General features: G+C 52.3%; 1 protein-coding gene across 49 annotated transcripts in view, besides 5 other annotated features; it reads left to right on the top strand.

The window, feature by feature from the left end:
• The window catches only part of HDAC4 (histone deacetylase 4), a 353,482-nt gene that overhangs the window by 119,748 nt on the left and 216,996 nt on the right, over nucleotides 1–16,738 (top strand). For 4 of the 49 annotated variants that reach the window (NR_198959.1, NM_001435993.1, NM_001435998.1 and 1 more), the window contains exon 1: nucleotides 7,121–7,294. The exons of 43 other annotated variants lie outside the window; for them this stretch is intronic. The gene's annotated coding sequence lies outside the window, so the exon portion shown is untranslated. Of the gene's footprint in view, nucleotides 1–7,120; nucleotides 7,295–8,274; nucleotides 8,535–14,387; nucleotides 14,562–16,738 lie in introns of those variants that run through there. 2 more of the 49 variants (NM_001435991.1, NM_001435992.1) reach the window with 2 other exon arrangements.
• Nucleotides 5,977–6,185: a silencer, noted in NCBI's record as "fragment chr2:240197413-240197621 (GRCh37/hg19 assembly coordinates)". NCBI's record gives its function as "represses an EF-1alpha promoter that drives an FKBP-Casp9 reporter gene in an ReSE screen in K562 erythroleukemia cells {active_cell/tissue: K562}" and the evidence as "EXISTENCE:reporter gene assay evidence [ECO:0000049][PMID:32094911]".
• Nucleotides 6,334–6,433: an enhancer, noted in NCBI's record as "active region_17386". NCBI's record gives its function as "activates an Ori minimal core promoter by ATAC-STARR-seq in GM12878 lymphoblastoid cells {active_cell/tissue: GM12878}" and the evidence as "EXISTENCE:reporter gene assay evidence [ECO:0000049][PMID:35858748]".
• Nucleotides 8,082–8,859: an enhancer, noted in NCBI's record as "H3K4me1 hESC enhancer chr2:240194739-240195516 (GRCh37/hg19 assembly coordinates)". NCBI's record gives its function as "activates a minimal SCP1, AML or CMV promoter by ChIP-STARR-seq in primed H9 embryonic stem cells {active_cell/tissue: H9 hESC(primed)}" and the evidence as "EXISTENCE:reporter gene assay evidence [ECO:0000049][PMID:30033119]".
• Nucleotides 14,609–14,658: an enhancer, noted in NCBI's record as "active region_17385". NCBI's record gives its function as "activates an Ori minimal core promoter by ATAC-STARR-seq in GM12878 lymphoblastoid cells {active_cell/tissue: GM12878}" and the evidence as "EXISTENCE:reporter gene assay evidence [ECO:0000049][PMID:35858748]".
• Nucleotides 16,602–16,701: an enhancer, noted in NCBI's record as "active region_17384". NCBI's record gives its function as "activates an Ori minimal core promoter by ATAC-STARR-seq in GM12878 lymphoblastoid cells {active_cell/tissue: GM12878}" and the evidence as "EXISTENCE:reporter gene assay evidence [ECO:0000049][PMID:35858748]".

Raw genomic sequence — 16,738 nt, 5'->3', positions numbered from 1 at the left:
TGTAGAGTGGTATGTACATTGAGAGTGGTGTGTACATTGTGTGTAGAGTGGTGTGTTCATTGTAGAGTGGTGTGTACATTGAGAGTGGTGTGTACATTGTAGAGTGGTGTATATATTGTGTGTAGAGTGGTGGGTAAATTGTAGAGTGGCGTGTACATTGTGTGTAGAGTGGTGTGTTCATTGTAGAGTGGGGTGTACACTGCGTGTAGAGTAGTGTGTACATTGCAGAGTGGTGTGTACATTGTTTGCAGAGTGGTGTGTACATTGTAGAGTGGTGTGTACATTGTGTGTAGAGTGGTGTGTACATTGTGTGGAGAGTGGTGTGTACATTGTAGAGTGGTGTGTACATTGTGTGTAGAGTGGTGTGTTCAGTGTAGAGTGGTGTGTTCATTGTAGCATGGTGTGTACATTGTAGAGTGGTGTGTACATTGTAGAGTGGTGTGTAGAGTGGTGTGTTCATTGTAGAGTGGTGTATACATTGTGTGTAGAGTGGTGGGTAAATTGTAGAGTGGCATGTACATGGTGTGTAGAGTGGTGTGTTCATTGTAGAGTGGTGTGTACATTGTTTGCAGAGTGGTGTGTACATTGTGTGTAGAGTGGTGTGTTCATTGTAGAGTGGTGTGTTCATTGTGTGTAGAGTGGTGTGTACATTGTGTGGAGAGTGGTGTGTACATTGTGTGTAGAGTGGTGTGTTCATTGTAGAGGGGTGTGTACATTGAGAGTGGTGTGTACATTGTGTGTAGAGTGGTGTGTTCATTGTAGAGTGGTGTGTACATTGAGAGTGGTGTGTACATTGTGTGTAGAGTGGTGTGTACATTGAGAGTCGTGTGTACATTAAGAGTGGTGTGTACATTGTAGAGTGGTATGTACATTGAGAGTGGTGTGTACATTGAGAGTGGTGTGTACATTGTGTGTAGAGTGGTGTGTTCATTGTAGAGTGGTGTGTACATTGTAGAGTGGTGTGTACATTGTGTGGAGAGTGGTGTGTACATTGTAGAGTGGTGTGTACATTGTGTGGAGAGTGGTGTGTACATTGTAGAGGTGTGTACATTGTGTGGAGAGTGGTGTGTACATTGTAGAGTGGTGTGTACATTGTGTGTAGAGTGGTGTGTTCATTGTAGAGTGGTGTGTACATTGTGGAGTGGTGTACATGGTTTACACACGTGTGTGCATGGGGACAAGACTTGGATGGAGTTTGCCATCCCCTGTTAACAGCAGACAGTTCCAGGATGTTGCGTCGCATCTTTGTTGTGCCTGGTGTCTTCCTCACGCGGGAGAGAGGCCCCCGAGCCTCCTGGCAGAGGCCACAATGCACCTGCTCCCACAATGTTTTCCTTACCCTTTTTAAGTTGCTTGGAGGCTTCAGCATTTGGGACCAGGTGGGGAGGCGTGCAGTGCCCGGGTCACCTGCCTGCCTTCTGTGCCCCTGGCTCGCCCATCGGAGGGACCAGTCGGCACGGCTGAGTCATGCTGACTCAATGTTTCATACAGTGGAGCTGGCTTCCCAGAAACAGCTCTGTATTCCTCTAATGTTCTTCGTGCATGTAACGTGAAGTGGAGTTTGGGGCAAAATGTGCTTTCAGGGCTTGTGGCCTTCTTTCCTTCTTTAACACAGCGTCTCGGGAGTACGAGGCACTCGCACATCAGCTTTGCCCCCACTCTTGGGTTGCTGGCATTGTTAAAAACGAGAGAATATAAGGTAGAAATTTCCAGATGCCTTTTTTTTTCTTTGACCAACATGTTTTTCAGGGTTGATGCCACAAGAACCAGCACATGTCTCAAGTGGCATAAGGAGATTTCATCAGCATGGCCAGTTCTTAGCTGACGAGCTGGAATCCCAGGGTGCTAGGAAACACAGGCACTTTGGGGTTGGGGGGTGCTGTCCTCTTCCGCAGGAGTGGAAGGGATGAGATGCTCCCGAGAGGTGGGATCCGCACTTTCTGTGGACCACAGTTATTGATCCTAGAATTCGGGGAGGGAAACGTCAGACAGGCCACTCATGGTTTGTGGCCACTTTGGAAACATTAGGGAAGGGTCCTGGGGAAGGCGTGGAGAAGCCCGGTGAGAGCTGGCCATTCATCCTGAGGGCGCGGTTTCCACCTGGACTCTCGTGGTGAGGGTAGGGGACACTCCTCACTCAGTCGCCCCCATCCCATGCCCCCTGCGGGCCTGGCCTGGTGTGGCTGGTTCTTGTCCCCAGGTCCCCTGCTCTCAGGAGACCTTCATTTGTGGGAGGCACTGTGGGGGCTGTGTGAGATTTCTGGCTTCTGCTGCTGCTGGAGCTGTCCCAGCTCACTCCACCCTGGGCTGCTCCCACCCCTGCCCTTCTGCTCCTCACCCCGACAGTGTCCTCTCTAGGGAGAGGTTTTCTGCTGGGACGTTGGAGAGAGGACAGACTTCAGAGGCAGAGAGACGGGCCTGAACCCCAGCTTTTCTGCCTAGATATTGGGAGCATTACTTAGTTTCTTTGAACCTTGATTTTCTCGTCTGTAAGATGGATGTAGTAGAACTGCCTCATGAGTTTATTATAAGGCTGAGGGGATCAAGTGTGAATTTAGTGCCTGGTGCCAGTTTGTTCATTGATCCCTCTAATGAGTCATTTGTTCAGTCACTGTTTTCAGCTCAGAGACGTGAGCATCTCCTGGTCAGGCACAGACCTCAGGCTTTGCCTTCTTAGCAGCCCAGAGTCTCCTGGGAGAAACAGCAAATCAGGCACTTTGCTTTTGCAAGCAAAAGCCATTATGAAATTTGAGTTTGCTGATGCCCTGGAATCAGGAGGGGAGCCCTCCGGCCTGTGGGCCCTGCTGCCCCATTACCTCCAACCACTTTCCCCGCCTGGGGCAGGGTGTGGCCCCACACCAGCCCCACTTTTCTTTCTTTCTGGTTTTTCAGTCCTGCCGGCAGCATAGTCTTTTTATTTGTTTGTTTGGAAGAGATAGGGTCTGACACTATTGCCCAGGCTGGCCTCGAGCTCTTGGGCTCCAGGCGCCCTCCTGAGTAGCTGGGACTACATGTCCACACTACTGCACCTGGCTTCAGGAGTGTGGTCTTCCCGGCCCCGGCCCCAATGGTCCTCATGTTTAAAGAGGAAGAGAGCCACACTGATGGGCAGGAAAGCCGTTTCCTGAAGGAAGGTCCAGAGCCACCTTAGAAGGTGAATTAAAGCAAACCACAGCCTTCGGCCACTTATTTTGACTGACATGTGGTACAAAACATGTTTTTTGTTTTTATTGAGACAGTCTCCCTCTGTCACCCAGGCTGGAGTACAGTGGCATGATCTCGCCTCACTGCAGCCTCTGTCTCCTGGGCTCAGGCGATCCTGCTGCGGCCTTCTGAGTAGCTGGGACTACAGCTGCTCATCACCATGCCCGGCTAATTTTTGTCTTTTAGTAGAGATGGTGTCTTGCCATGTTGGCCAAGCTGGTCTCGAACTCCTGGGCTCAAGCAATCTGCCTGCCTCAGCCTCCCAGAATGCTGAGATTATAGGCGTGAGCCCTTGTCCTGGCCCAAAATATGTTTTTACATTTTAAAAATTATCCTTTTCTTTACCAATTAGATTGTCAATTTTTTTTTTAAACAAATGCTTTCTGTGGCCTTGTAGAAAATACTGGTTGGTGGGCACCTCTTCTTGGAAGACTGCCACTGGAGGGTCCTCAGGGTGAAGTCACCCCCACTTGGCTTGATGCTTTGTTACCAGTCTGTTTTTTTTTTTTTCTTTTTTTCTCTAATGGTGGGATAATTTGAAAACTCAACCCTTTCCAGCCAATGGTGAGCACCTGTTCATTTCTCAAGACACCCTGAGCCTCCAGGTGGCCTCCACCAGCGGGGAGCCGAGTGTGCGGCTGGAGTGTGTAGCTGGAGCGTGTGGCTGGAGTGTGTTGCTAGGGTGTGTGGCTGGGGTGTGTGGCTGGGGTGTGTGGCTGGCCTGCTCAGGAGAGACGGGGAGCCGAGTGTGTGGCTGGCGTGTGTGGCTGGAGTGTGTGGCTGGGGTGTGTGACTGGGGCGTATGACTGGGGCCTGCTGAGCGGAGAGTATTCTCAGTTATTTGTTTCCGGCAGATCTGAGAACCTGAGTAGTAGGAACTGCTTCAGGCCTGGGTCCCGGCCCGGGTGGAGTTGCTGTGGAACGCAGGTGTTTTCTGTGTGAGTTTGCTAAGCGCTGTTGGGCGTTCTGGAAGTGTCTTTCCAAAGCAGACATTATCAAGCCAGGGTCCTTGTGGCTACACCAGGCTGGGCGGCTGTGTGGCCCTTTTAGGCAGCTAGAACTGGCCTCACTGGTTCCGGGGATGCGTGCGGTGAGAGTGGGCACATGTCCGGTGAGCTTGTGGAAGTGCCCTGAGACCCTGGTTCCTGCTCCGGAGTACAGAACGTGTGATGATCAGCGATGGGCCACCATGGCGTGACTGGCACCAACAGCGCAGAGACCATAAACATGTTCCTTCCTGCTGACCGGCCCGTACTCCCAGGGTGGTGGCCCAGGGCCTGTCCACCTGGGTCTGCACTTCTGGGCTTCCCTGTCGTTTCCCCAGCTTCCCTTCTGGTAATGAGCTTGGTGCTCCTCCTCTCCCCACCTCTCACCCTTGTGCCTTTGGAAAGGCCTTACTGGACAGACCGGGAACAAGAGGGCATCTGCTATTTCTGGGGAGCTTCAGAAGCTGAGCTCACCGGGCTCGGCTCTGGGAGCATGGTTGTCCTCCAAATACATGTTTTCTTCTTTTACTGATCCTTCTGCTAACCTCGGGACCCCACTATACCAGGTGCTGGGTACACCAAGGTGAGCAGGACCCCGTCCCTGCTTTCAAGAATGGTTAAGAGAATTGCAAAATATTAGTGCCGTGCAGAGTCCCAGGTGCCACCAGCAGGGGCAAATGCAGGCCCAGGAGGGCGCGGCAGTGGAAAGGGGCTGCACAGAGCAGGGGAGGCTCCACAGCTGACTCTCGAATGGTGTTCCCCAAGGGCTAGAGGGGTGTGTGTTAGGGGGTCAGGGTTGGGGGATTTTGTGGCACGGTGACAGACAGTGTTGCAAGAAGAATGAACTCATACACAGACCTGATCACTTGGTGGTGGCTTCACCCTGGAGCCTGTTGTCATTCCCCCTGGCCTCCCTCTGCCGTCTTGCCTCGCCTGGCTCTGCTGCTCTGCTGGCCTCTGCAGCCGGCCTTTGTCTGGGCAGCGAGCAGTGTCCAGGCAGCAGACAGCGGGTAGTGTCCAGGCAGCAGGCAGTGTTCCGGCAGCAGGCAGTGTCCAGGCAGCGGGCAGTGTCCAGGCAGCAGGCAATGTCCAGGAAGTGGCCTGTGTCTGGAGAGCAGATGGTGTCTGCGGTGTATCGGTGTCTCATCTCCAGCTAGAGGGACTTAGGTCCCCATGACTGGTGAAGCCGTTTCAGGAACAGCACTGATGACCAATGGAGCAATCTCTGGCCTAGTTGGGAGGTCCGTCAGGGCTGCTTTGAAGGTGGCACAGGCCATACATGCAGAACCCGGGTGCCTGTCCCACTCCTGCCCCCGTCCTGTGGCCTGGGGTCCAGACACAGGGAGCTGGAGGCAGAGGGGCTGCTGAGTCAGTTAGACAGGCCTCTCTGTTGGCGGGACCACGACTTGACGCCTTCTCCCCTCAACACTTCCAAGGCATACTTGCCAAGGGTCCGCACCCGCTCTCTGGTTCGGGGCCTCTCCCTGCCTCTGTAAGACTGGTGCAGCTGCTCTAACTTGTCTGCCATCTTCAGGTTCTCTGCGTTGCCACCAGAGTGAACTTGCTGGCGTGGGGGTCGGTGTCTGCCGTGAGTCAGGTCCCTGCGCAGTCCTCCCTGGCAGTGGAGGAACACTGGTTCTTTGCCTGGCCCCAGGGCAGTCCCAGCCCCAGAGGTCCCTGGCCTGCGCTGGCTCAGAGCATGCTGGCCATCTGCTTGGGCGGAGCCTGTCCACCACCGCCTGGTGCCTTCCCGCCCATCCTTTTAAGGCCTCTCCTCCTCTGGGAAGCTTTCCCAAATGAGGCAGGCGACAGAGGAGCTTCATCTTCTCCGCCCCATACCTTCAGGGTGGCACGTGGCACCATGAGGAGCTATCTGGGGCTCCCCTGGGTGTCTTCCCCTCCCTGTGAGCTCCTGGAAGGCAGGGGTCCTGGCGTTCTATCTTGCCTTCTTGCATCATGGGTGTGCCTGGCAGCCTGAGGGGTGGGGAGTGGGACCAGGCACTGCAGAGGCCCCCAGCCTCACTCTGAGGCTGGACCTGGAGTCGCAGGGTGGCAGTACCGAACCCAGGTGTGCCACCCGCACACACACAGACCGTGCAGGCAGGGGCGGTGGCTGCTGTTCTTCCATGTGTGTCCCCCTCGTGGCGGCCCTGCATTGCTGCCTGTTGGTGGGGTTAGGGTCTGCTGTCACTCCGTGGGCCATGACATCGCCACTGCCATCACATTTGCAGAGCTCCGTGTGCATACATGATAGCGTCCCGACCAACAGCGCCTCCGGTACACAAAGCCGTTTCTTGGTGAATCAGCAAGTCTGGGCTCCTGCCGTTTCTGGGTGAGCCCTGTGCTTGGACAGTTATGAATCATTTGCTTGCCTCTTGATTTGCGTCAATCAAACCACATGTGAAGAAAGCGGCAGTGAGCAGCGCTTTGCCGGCAGCCTGGCTCCAGCGTGGGGCGGCTTGCCAGGGACAGCCTCAGGAGGCCAGCCTGCGCGGCCTGGTGGTCTGGGCTGAGGGCCTGGGGTGGCTTCGGCCCACGGGGCTTCCGGCCGGCCCCCACCCTTTCTTCCCCCGATCCCCGTCAGCCACGGGAGATGGGTGAGATGGTAATGATAGCGTAGCGTGTGCTGGCTTCCTACGTGTAATCCTGTGGCCAGGGGCACATATTCGCAGCTCTGGGAATGTTTATGGTTGGAAGCCCCTCCGCTGATCTGTTCTTCCCTCTCACACAAAATCACTCCAGGACAGGGCTCTTTGCAAAGATTACTTGTAAGAAAGCCTTAATTAAAAAGAGATGTCACCATGCCCCTCCCCTCCTTCAAACCAAGAGGAGCAGCAGAAGGGGGAGTGGCCCAGGGTCAGAAGGACAGCTGGGAGGAGCGTGGGGGCCAGGCCAGGCCTAGGGAAGGGCCATCCACCTGGGACTTCTGAGCCTTTTCTTTTCTGGAGCAGCTTTGGGGATGAGGCTTGCCCTCCGTTGAGTCACGGTGACAGCTCTGCACTGTGCTGGGCTGAGAGAGCCCCGCCGTGGAGGGCCATCTGGGAAAGTAGGGTTCCCAGGGCCCCCCAGCTTCACTGGCTTGCTTTGCTTTGGTTATTTTCGAGGTAGGCAAATGAGGTTCTCGTTTTTACCGTGAAGGTTACTTGTATTGTTGTTGAATTAGCTGTTGAATGGTAGCTGTTGTCCTAGTTTCCTAGTTAGTCATGGCTGTGGCTCGTGGCTTAGAGACCAGCGGCGCCCTGGCTCATTCCCATCTCTTGCGGGGGCCCATACATGATTCGTCCTTAAAACTGGGAGGGGACGCCGGGGTGCACTGGGCTTGTCCTGTCGTTTGGTAATGATCACAAGTGTGTTTATATGTGACTCTTCCAGGGAATCGTGGAAACTTAGTGGCCATGAGGTCCCCTGGCTCTGAAATTTCTCTCTGAATGAGCTGGGAGGGTGTAACCTTCCACAATTGTGAGCCCAGGTTTATGTTTGCAACAAATAATAAACAGCAAAACAGAACAGAGTGATACCCCCGTCCAAATCTAGCACCTTCACTGGCTATCTTTCATTTTTTATTACGGAAAATTTCAAACATTTACGAAAGTGAAAAGACAATAAGGAGCGGACTAGGCTGCTGTCCCCATCTTCAGCGATGGCTGAGCAGGGCCAGGCCTGCCTCACTGTATTGTTCCAAAGCAGTTCTACCGTCATGCAGGTGTCTTCCGAACATGCGACCCTAATACCATTGTCACAGCTTTAACACATCAACACGTGAATCCATCAAATAATCAGTCATTTAAAATCCCCATTGTCTCAAAAAGTTTTCAGTCTCTTTTCTTTTTGTATGTGGCTGTTGTTCAAATAAGTGTTAAGTAAGGTTCGTGGGTTCTAATGGGCCACTGTCACTTGTGATGGACACAGCCGTTTCCTCCCTCTTGCTCTCCAGTCTATTTGTTGGGGAGCTTGGCTTGTCCTGTTGTGTGGCCACGGCAGAGCTCTCACTGCCTGTGTCCATGTGGCGTGTTGAGCAAGTTCCTCCTCCCTCTCTTTCTGGTGACCTGGCGGTTGCAGCTGGAGCCTGCGCCGGACCGGGGCTAGTTGGCAAGACTGTGGCATGGGGGCGTGGGCGTTCTGCTGGGTGATGAGCGGGTCCTGAAGGTGGCTGTCTAGCTTCATTCCTTCCTTCCTGGGGGCTGCAGAGTGATAATCCAAGACACTCACTCCTGAATCAGGTAAAAGACTTCTGCAGAGAGGAAGTGCCCTCATCAGCTCTTCGGCTCACACAGGAAAGGCTTTCTTTATTTACCATCTTTCAGAGGAATGAGCTCGTTGCTTTACATCATCTGAAGGTCACTGGTGAGTTTTGTCGTTTGTTTTTGTGTGTAATTGTGAGCTTGTGGGTTTAAGTGTGCTCCATGCCTTTTAGGCCTTTGCTGCTGTTACTCTCATTGATGTTCACCTTGTCCTCCTTGATCCACGAGGCCCTGTGGAGTTGGCCCTTGAGTCTTTTGGACATAACCCTTGCAGTCTTTGATTGCTTCCTTGCTCTGCTGTGACAAGACACCTTGTCACCTTGTATAATTCCTGTCCCCGGAATTTATCTGATAATCCCTCATCTCAGTATCCTTAATCACATGTGTAAAGTCCGTTTGAGCATCTAAGGTGGTGTATTTCTAGGTTCCGGGAATGAGGATGTAGACCCTGTGTGGGGTATCATTTATCCTTCCTGTGCTCAGCCCTCAGACCTGCAGGTCTGGTCTCTGACTCTGCCGCTCATCGTGGGCAACTCTCTGGCCAGGTCGCTAGGGAGGGAAGAAGCCGTTGCAGGAATATAGGGACAGCTTGGGACGAGAGGGCCAGGGTAGATGCCTGTCTAAGGGTCTAGGGAGGTACAGAGGTGAGCCCCTCTGCTGCTCTTGTCCCCTACAGTTGCCTGCCCTGCTCTGCCAGAGTCAGAGGGCATCGCCTGGGGCACCCACAGCAGCAGCGCAGGGGTGCATTGGGGGTGAGTGCAGATGGTTGGCTGCGAGAGGTTCCGATGCTGGGTTTGACAGTCAGGGTGGTCTTGTATCTTTTTGATCCTGGCCATCCTTGTGGATAGAAAGTGACATCTTATTGTGATTTTGATTTACATTTTCCTGAGGTTAACAACTAGTGATGACAGTCATCTTTTCACATGCTCATGGGCCATTGTGCATCTTTGGAGAAATGTCTGTTTAAATCCTTTGCTCATTTTAAAATTAGATTATTTGCCTTTTTATTGTTTGAGTTGTCTGGCCCTTTATATTCTAGATACAGCTCCTTGATCAGATATATGGTTTGCAAATATTCTTTTCCATTCTGTAGGTTGCCTTTCTGGATGGTGTCTTTTGAAGCTCAGAAGATTTTTATTTTGCTGGTATCCTGTTTGGCTATTTTTTTCTTTTGCTGCCTGTGTTTTGGTGTCCTATCAGAGACATTTATTGAACTCGGATTGGATTGGAACGATGATGTGGGCCCCCTCTTGGGGCTCCTGGCTTTTGGCTTCTGTTGAATGTAAATGCTAAAAGGCTTCTCTGGGCTGTTAGGAGAGAGGCAGATTTTATTGCCCAGCCAGCTTCTGCAGTGTCTAATGGCTAGATTCGCTTTTCCCACAGTTGTTTTTAATTGAATGTCCGTGGGAAAGTGGCCAAGTAAATGGAAGGTTTCACAGAGAGAGCTGGGTTTCTTTGTTGATTTTTTTTGAAACTGTGCTTTTTTGTCATTACTGTGCAGAGTTTGTTGGAATCTGGCGCCAGGTTGTGATGTCTGCTGAGACTTGTATTGGTCTTGTTGAGTATGGCAGCATTGTAGTGGCTTTTCCCCCACTCGAAACACAAGTTCCAGGAAATTTCGAAGCTCTGTGTAACTTCCAGGTGGACATCTTCCCTGTTGAGAGGTTAATTATGGGACGTGGAGCCATCAGGGACTCTGAATGTGGGACACACATCCTGAGGAGAGAGGCCACGTCTTGGAAGGATGAAGGGCAACCTGTCTTCGGGGTCCAGAACTGGACTCTCACTCAGCAGCTGTGCCGGCCTCAGCCACCCAGGCTTTGTGTCTGTAACATGGGGATGACGACAGTGTCTACCCGATAATCCGGAGATCCACATCGGGGGATGGAGAGCTCTAGGGAGGATGCCGGCAGAATCGGCTCTCATAGTCCTAAACACAATCACCAAGATGAACTGTTGCTTTCATGTGAATTGAGTATTCCTCATTATTCCAAACACAACAGCACTGAAAACTTAGAATGTGTAAACAAAAAACACACTAAGCCGACCGAGCACAGTGGCTCACACCTGTAATCCCAACACTTTGGGAGACCAAGGTGAATGGATTGCTTGAGCTCAGAAGTTCAAGACCAGTCTGGGCAACATGGCAAAACCCCTTCTCAAACCCCTACTCTACTAAAAGTATAAAAATTAGCCAGGCATGGTGGCATGCACCTATGATTCCAGCTACTCAGGAGTGTGAGATGGGAGGATCACCTGAGCCCAGGAAGTCGAGGCTGCAGTGAGCCGTGATCACACCACTGCATTCCAGCCTGGGCAACCGGAGCAAGACCCTGTCTCAAAAAACACCAAAAAACATACTAAGCCCCAACCTTTTTACTGGTTTTAAATTCTGAATCTTGCATTTCCTTCAGCTCCAAATTAATGAGAAAAGTGAAGGTTGTGTGTCTATCAGATAAACCCGGTCCTTTGAGTTGTAAGTATTTTCAGAGATTTGTAACTAATTAGGATATATTTAATATTAATGCACATATTTGCCATGTTTCTGAATGAGGAACGGACACTGTATTTTCCTTGCCAAAAGCTAGCCTACCAGTGTATAATTTACTCTGTATCTGGGGTTTTTTGGAGGTCTGTGCATATTTTGGTTTGAACTAAGAGCCACTTAAGTCTGCACGTGCTGCTCACAGTAACGCTCACATCTGTCGTATCCGTCAACAGGTCGTCTTACTCCTTTCCATTAAGTAGATGGTTTAATGATTTCAGAAATGTCAGATAGTTCCCTGTTAGTGCATGTAAGAAATTATACAAATGCTGAATGCAAGTAGCACATCTTTGTTTGGAACAAGGGAGTGGTCCAGTTCCGAGGAGACTTGAAAGCATTATAATATTCCTGATTAGGTTATAAATGTCTAGGTTTTTTAGCCCCCGGACTATTTCAGCTTATTCTGGATTCTCATTTTTAAAGGCCTCTTTTTCTCTATCGCCTCATTCTATCTCATTTTAAAGTCTTCCTTTTCTCTATCGCCTGCTTCACTGTGTCTCACCATGAAATTTCCTGTTTTTCTGCATGTTGCCAGCTCTGCTCTTTCTCCTTTCCAGTTGAATACATCGGGGGGCAGCTAATGAGCATCCCATTGAGGCCACAGCGAGTTCTTTCGGCTTGCTCAGAATTTCCCTCTCCAAGGTGTCACCAACGGCGCTTTTCTGTTTCCGTCATCCATTCATTTTTACACATACGGATGTGGACAGGCCACAGGGTCCACACAGCTGCTCCAGTGCAGCCCGAGACAGAGCTGATGGGGCAGCCTCCAGGACTCTGGGTCCTTACCTGCTGCCGTGGGAGTCATCAGGCTCCTGAAAGGCTGGTGACATCCTGAGCTCATCCAGAGAGTAGGCTCTGGGACCTCAAGGGCCACCTGCGTGCAGTTGACTCTCTCTCAGAGTTGCCTGTTGTGTTTTGTGTAAGGACATCATTTTGGGGGGCGGGGAGATAAGTCAGGTCCACTCGCTGCTCTTGTCTATGAAGCCCTGACACATGATAATGTGCAATTAACAAAGTGCTGGGATGAGATCCGAGCCAGCCTTGGGTCGTAAGAACCAAACCCATCATTGCTGGCCTTGTAATTATACTGTTGTGTGTGGACAGTTTGTACTTTTTCCCTTTTCGAGCAACTTGGAAGATTTGCTGTGTCTTTAAGTTGAAATGACTTGAGTCATCTTCCCTTAGAAACCTTCTGTGTAGAAACTCAGCCTCTGAACACACGGTGACCCGGCAGTCCCGGCCACGAGGTGACCAGTACTTGATATTTGTCTTTTTAGGAAAGCGCACGGGCTCGCAGTGGCCAGCCCACTGGGGCATGAATAAGGACCCTCCTCCTCCAGGAGGCCAGCAGGGCCTCATGCTTCTCATTCAGTGGGGAAAACTGGGGTTCTGAAGAATGGAGCTTGCAGAGAATTCCTGCAGACTGGAATGGAGTTTGGCACTCAGCTAAAAGGTGTTGAGGTGACACCTGCAGGAGTTACCTGGCCAGTGCCAGGAAGTCAGACCCCACCCTTCCTTGGGCACACAGACAATGTACAATATTTGCTAGGTGCATGCATGCATGCACGTGTATGTAGATGTGTGAATGTATGTGGGTGTGTGAATGTGTGTGGGTGTGTGAATGTGTGTGGGTGTGTGAATGTGTGTGGGTGTGTGAATGTGTGGGTGTGTGAATGTGTGTAGATGTGTGAATGTATGTGGGTGTGTGAATGTGTGTGGGTGTGTGAATGTGTGTGGGTGTGTGAATGTGGGTGTGTGAATTGTGTAGATGTATGAATGTATGTAGATAATGAATGTATGTACGTCTGAATGATGGGGGTGCTTGGATGGCTTCCATCTGCTGGTAAATTAGGTCTTAGTGTGCACAGTAAGAGGGTCTTCTAATTGAACGTTTCCAATGGTAGCTCCTAGAATCAAGCCGCTGGAAGCTCAGCTATGGAAGTGATGGGTCCTTGAGATTTCTTGCCAGTGCGATTAGTCTTTCTTTAAAAGCCAGCTCAATTCCATTCTTCTATGTCGCCATTTCTTTGTTTCTTTCCATTTTGTGGGGGTAGGGAGCCTGGCACCATCCACCTGGTGCCCTAAGGTCCCCTGGTAGGCTTCTGCACAAAAGCTTGCCTGTCTGACCCTGTTCTTGGTTGACAACTGATGAAAAGGCTAAGAGAAGTTCAGTTCTCACACCTGGATCTCTGCGGTTTCCTGGGGAGTCCTGTTCCCTTTTCTCTGTCCAGCCCTCCTGAGGGGCTGTGTCCCTGACAGGAAATGGGTGGTCACCTGGGATTACCCTGTCTTCCTTGGCCTGCAGGCCATCTAGTCACAGGGCAGGTTCTTCTGTCCCTCCAGGTGGTCATGAGCACCAAACCGATTGTACTGTGGAAATGCTTGGTAAAAGCCAGCAGGGAAGAAGTATGTTGATTCCTTTTTGTGGTAAGTTAGAACTCAGAGAGAAATTTGTTTACTTTCATGATGAATATCTTTATCCTTGACATGTGGCTTATTTACTCAGCGTCTTTTCAAAATCACACTTTATCCTGAGAAAAATCTAGACCCAAGTCTAATCTCTGATCTCTTGGGTCACTCTTCACAGTGTGGAATGGGCCCTGCTCCTTCCAGGACAGGCCTGCCTAGGGCTGTCAGTGGGGCCTGGCCCGCCAGGGCCACCGTCCTGGCCACCAGCCCGAGTCTGGGAGTGGCCAGCGCTGTTGGCATTCCCAGTTTGCTGAGGACCAAGTTCACTTCCTCCAGCACCCATTCCAACTTCCTAAGGAGAAAGCTCAGCAGCGAGAATGGGATGAATTGAGCAAATAAAAAAAATTACAACCAAGTGAATTTAAACCCCTCTCAAAACATTTTCTGATTATTCTGGTAACTCTTTGACCTAATTTGGACAACAGTTAGAGAAATTCAGATTTATGCCTGGAATTCAAGTATAGCCTGTAGCTTGGTGTGTGTGTTTTAAGTGCTTGATATTTGTCTTTTTAGGAAAGTGCACTCATTCTTAGACGAGACGGTATTTGAAAGACTGTTTGGAATGTGCAGAATTACCATGTAAGAACTCAGAAGCTGGGAACAATGGCAAGCGGCTGGCTTTGGGTGGAAACTAACCAGCTGGCTGGAGCAGTCTCTGTCCTTGACGGAGGGAGAAGCCTGCGAGGGGATGCAGAGGACCTGCCCCAGGGCAGAGCTCTTCGTGAGGGGCCTCGTCCCTGTGATTTGAGTCCCCATTGCCGTGTAGAAGGGCGCAGGGCCCCTGGCACAGGCCTCTTCTGTGGAGCCCTCCAGGTCTGCCTTGGCTCAGGGCTCCGCCTCCTGGTGAGGAAGTGTCACGGAGCTGTGGTTTAACGTTTCCGGTTTGTGGCTAGTTTCTTGTGTGTACAACTCTCTATAGCTGTGCCAAGCCCTTCCGGGAACAGTTGTAGATTTTTGCTGCCTTCAGCACGTCCTCAAGGGTTTGGGGAGTCCTTGCTGTCCACCGTTGTATCTGGGGACCCTGGGCAACTGCTGAGTGGTGCCATGGGCCCTGGTGCTCCGCTGGGAACTGTTGGCCACTGGTGCTCTTCAGACTCCATCGGCTTCCTCGGGAGGGTCTGTATCAGAGGCCGTCTGTCTGGTGTGATATGGACGGGTGTGGTATGCGTGTCCATGGTCACGGATTAGTGTTTACGAAGTGTAATTATAGGTGCAGTGGATGGGAACTTTCTGTGGGCCGGGCACTGCCCTAGATCCTGGACGGTGGTAGGTCCCACCATCTCCCAGGTCATAGATGGCAACATCAGAGGTCAAGTAATGTGTCCAGTGCCACAGGAGTGCTAGGTGGTCAAGCGGCACCCCCCATGCAGTGTACAGCTGCCGCGGAGACCATGTGGGCACTTACTCTCCCTCTGCACAGCTGTGAGCACCAGCTGTGCACAGCCACTGTGCCCAGGATGCCCAGGGTGGTGTCCTGAGAGATTACCAGTAGCCCTGCCTTGTCCCCTGTGGCTTAGGGGACCTCCAGTGGTTAGGGCTGGGGGAGACGAAACTAATGACCTGGTGTCCCCTGGGGAAGGCCACAGCACCTGGGTGTGGGGTGGAGCAGGAGTCCCAGGAGCTATAGAGGCCAAGCGGGTGCCTTGTAGACACCGTCAGTGCTGGCTAAGTGAAGGAAGAGCCTCTTCCACTTTACAAGCTCACAGTCCCCTTTGGGCTACCTGGAAATGGTGACATTGGGAGGGTCCCAAGAGGCAGATGTAGAATGTGGAGACAGAGGGAGAGAGGGTGGGATGTGAGCTGTGAGCTGCAGCGCTTGCCTTTGGGTGTGTGGAAGCCATGATGATTTCTTGGCCAGTGGCTTATAATTTCCCAGAGGGAGCAAAGGTGTGTGTCATGAAATCGTGGACTCTTGCCTCGGGACAGCTGGTATGTAATTGTTAGCCTCATTTGTCCTCAGCAGCCCCGGAGGCACCTCTGGAATAGGTGGGGGTAGCATGGCCAGCACAGGGCCAGGCCCCCCTGGGCAGGTGGGCTGTGAATCTGTGCTGCAGGCAGGATGGCTGTGCGGAGGTCATGGAGGGCTGGGCAGGCCAAGCCAGTGGCTTGCAGTGCAGGGCATTGAGGACAGTCAGAATCTCAGTGTGGGCTCCTGGGACCAGGGTCCCGGCCTATGGAGAATCAGGGGCACGTTTCCCACCTAGCGGCTCTGCTACAGGAAGTAGGCCTGCCTGGAGTGTGGGCTCCCTGCCTCGGGCACTGTGCTGGGATGCCGGCGAGGGGCTATGGCAGTGTGGTGGGCTCCGGCTGGCCTGGCCCCTTGGCCTTATGGTTCACCTCTGGTCTCAGCAGCCTTCACTGGCTGGCAGCCCCTCTGGATGCCACAGCAGCCTCTGCGCAGGCTTAGGGGCTCTGTGTCCCCCTCCCTGTCCTTAGAGGGGGAGCTGGGCAAGGCAGGCCACGCTCCTGCCATACGGTTGGTGTATGAGGATGGACAGGCAGCTCGCTTTGGCCTCACCTCATCCCACCAGGCCCAGGAGGTCAGTACTCCAGCCTGATCGGGGCACTGCCCACTCAGCACCAGCCAGCCCATGGCATGGTTCCCGCATTCCCATTCACCCCCAGGACCTAGCAGAATGCTTGAGCTCATGCATAACCTTAAAATGGTGTTTGGAAGTTCCAAGAAGCCTGGTGTCTCTGACACTGTTGTTTGGGATCCTGCAGAGCTGGCTGACCTTGAGCCTGCACCCAGCCTGGTGGCTGTGTCTTTGTGGGGTGCCTGTGTTGGTGCCGGCGCTGTGGCCTGGTGAGCATTGGCATCACCTCGTGTTCCTGCTCTGTCCTTTGTGCCTCAAGGCTCTGCGGAGCAGGAGAGTCAGGGGCAAAGGGAGGGCCTGGGTTCCCGCCCCACCGCACCTCCCCCCAGGAGGGCTCTTCACCTGTCCCACATGCAGTGCCCAGAAAGCACAGAGGGGTGGTGCTGGGAGGCCACTAACAGTGGGGTTTTTCTTTGATTTTGGAAGTGCTGTTTCTGAGTGGGAGGCCTTGGCTTCTCTGGAGGAGTGATTTATTTTGAAACCACACCCATTGCTGGGCTAAGATTGACTTCCTGATACGAAAGTCTGTGGCGGTGTTTGCTGAGAAGTCACACGTTTGAAGGGGAGGGTTTTATGACTTCATCTGTGATGCCTCTGGAGTACTGTCAGAGGCTGTGATTTTTCCTGAGTGTGCTGGACCCATCCTGGGGTTGGCACACATGTGGGAGCCCTGCTTGTCACTTGGGGGTTAAGGGT

This window comes from Homo sapiens, chromosome 2 (genome assembly GCF_000001405.40).
Source record: "Homo sapiens chromosome 2, GRCh38.p14 Primary Assembly".
In the NCBI taxonomy this organism is placed as follows: domain Eukaryota; kingdom Metazoa; phylum Chordata; class Mammalia; order Primates; family Hominidae; genus Homo; species Homo sapiens.
Note: the sequence above shows the minus strand (reverse complement) of the source record. Positions and strands in the feature narration are given on the sequence as shown.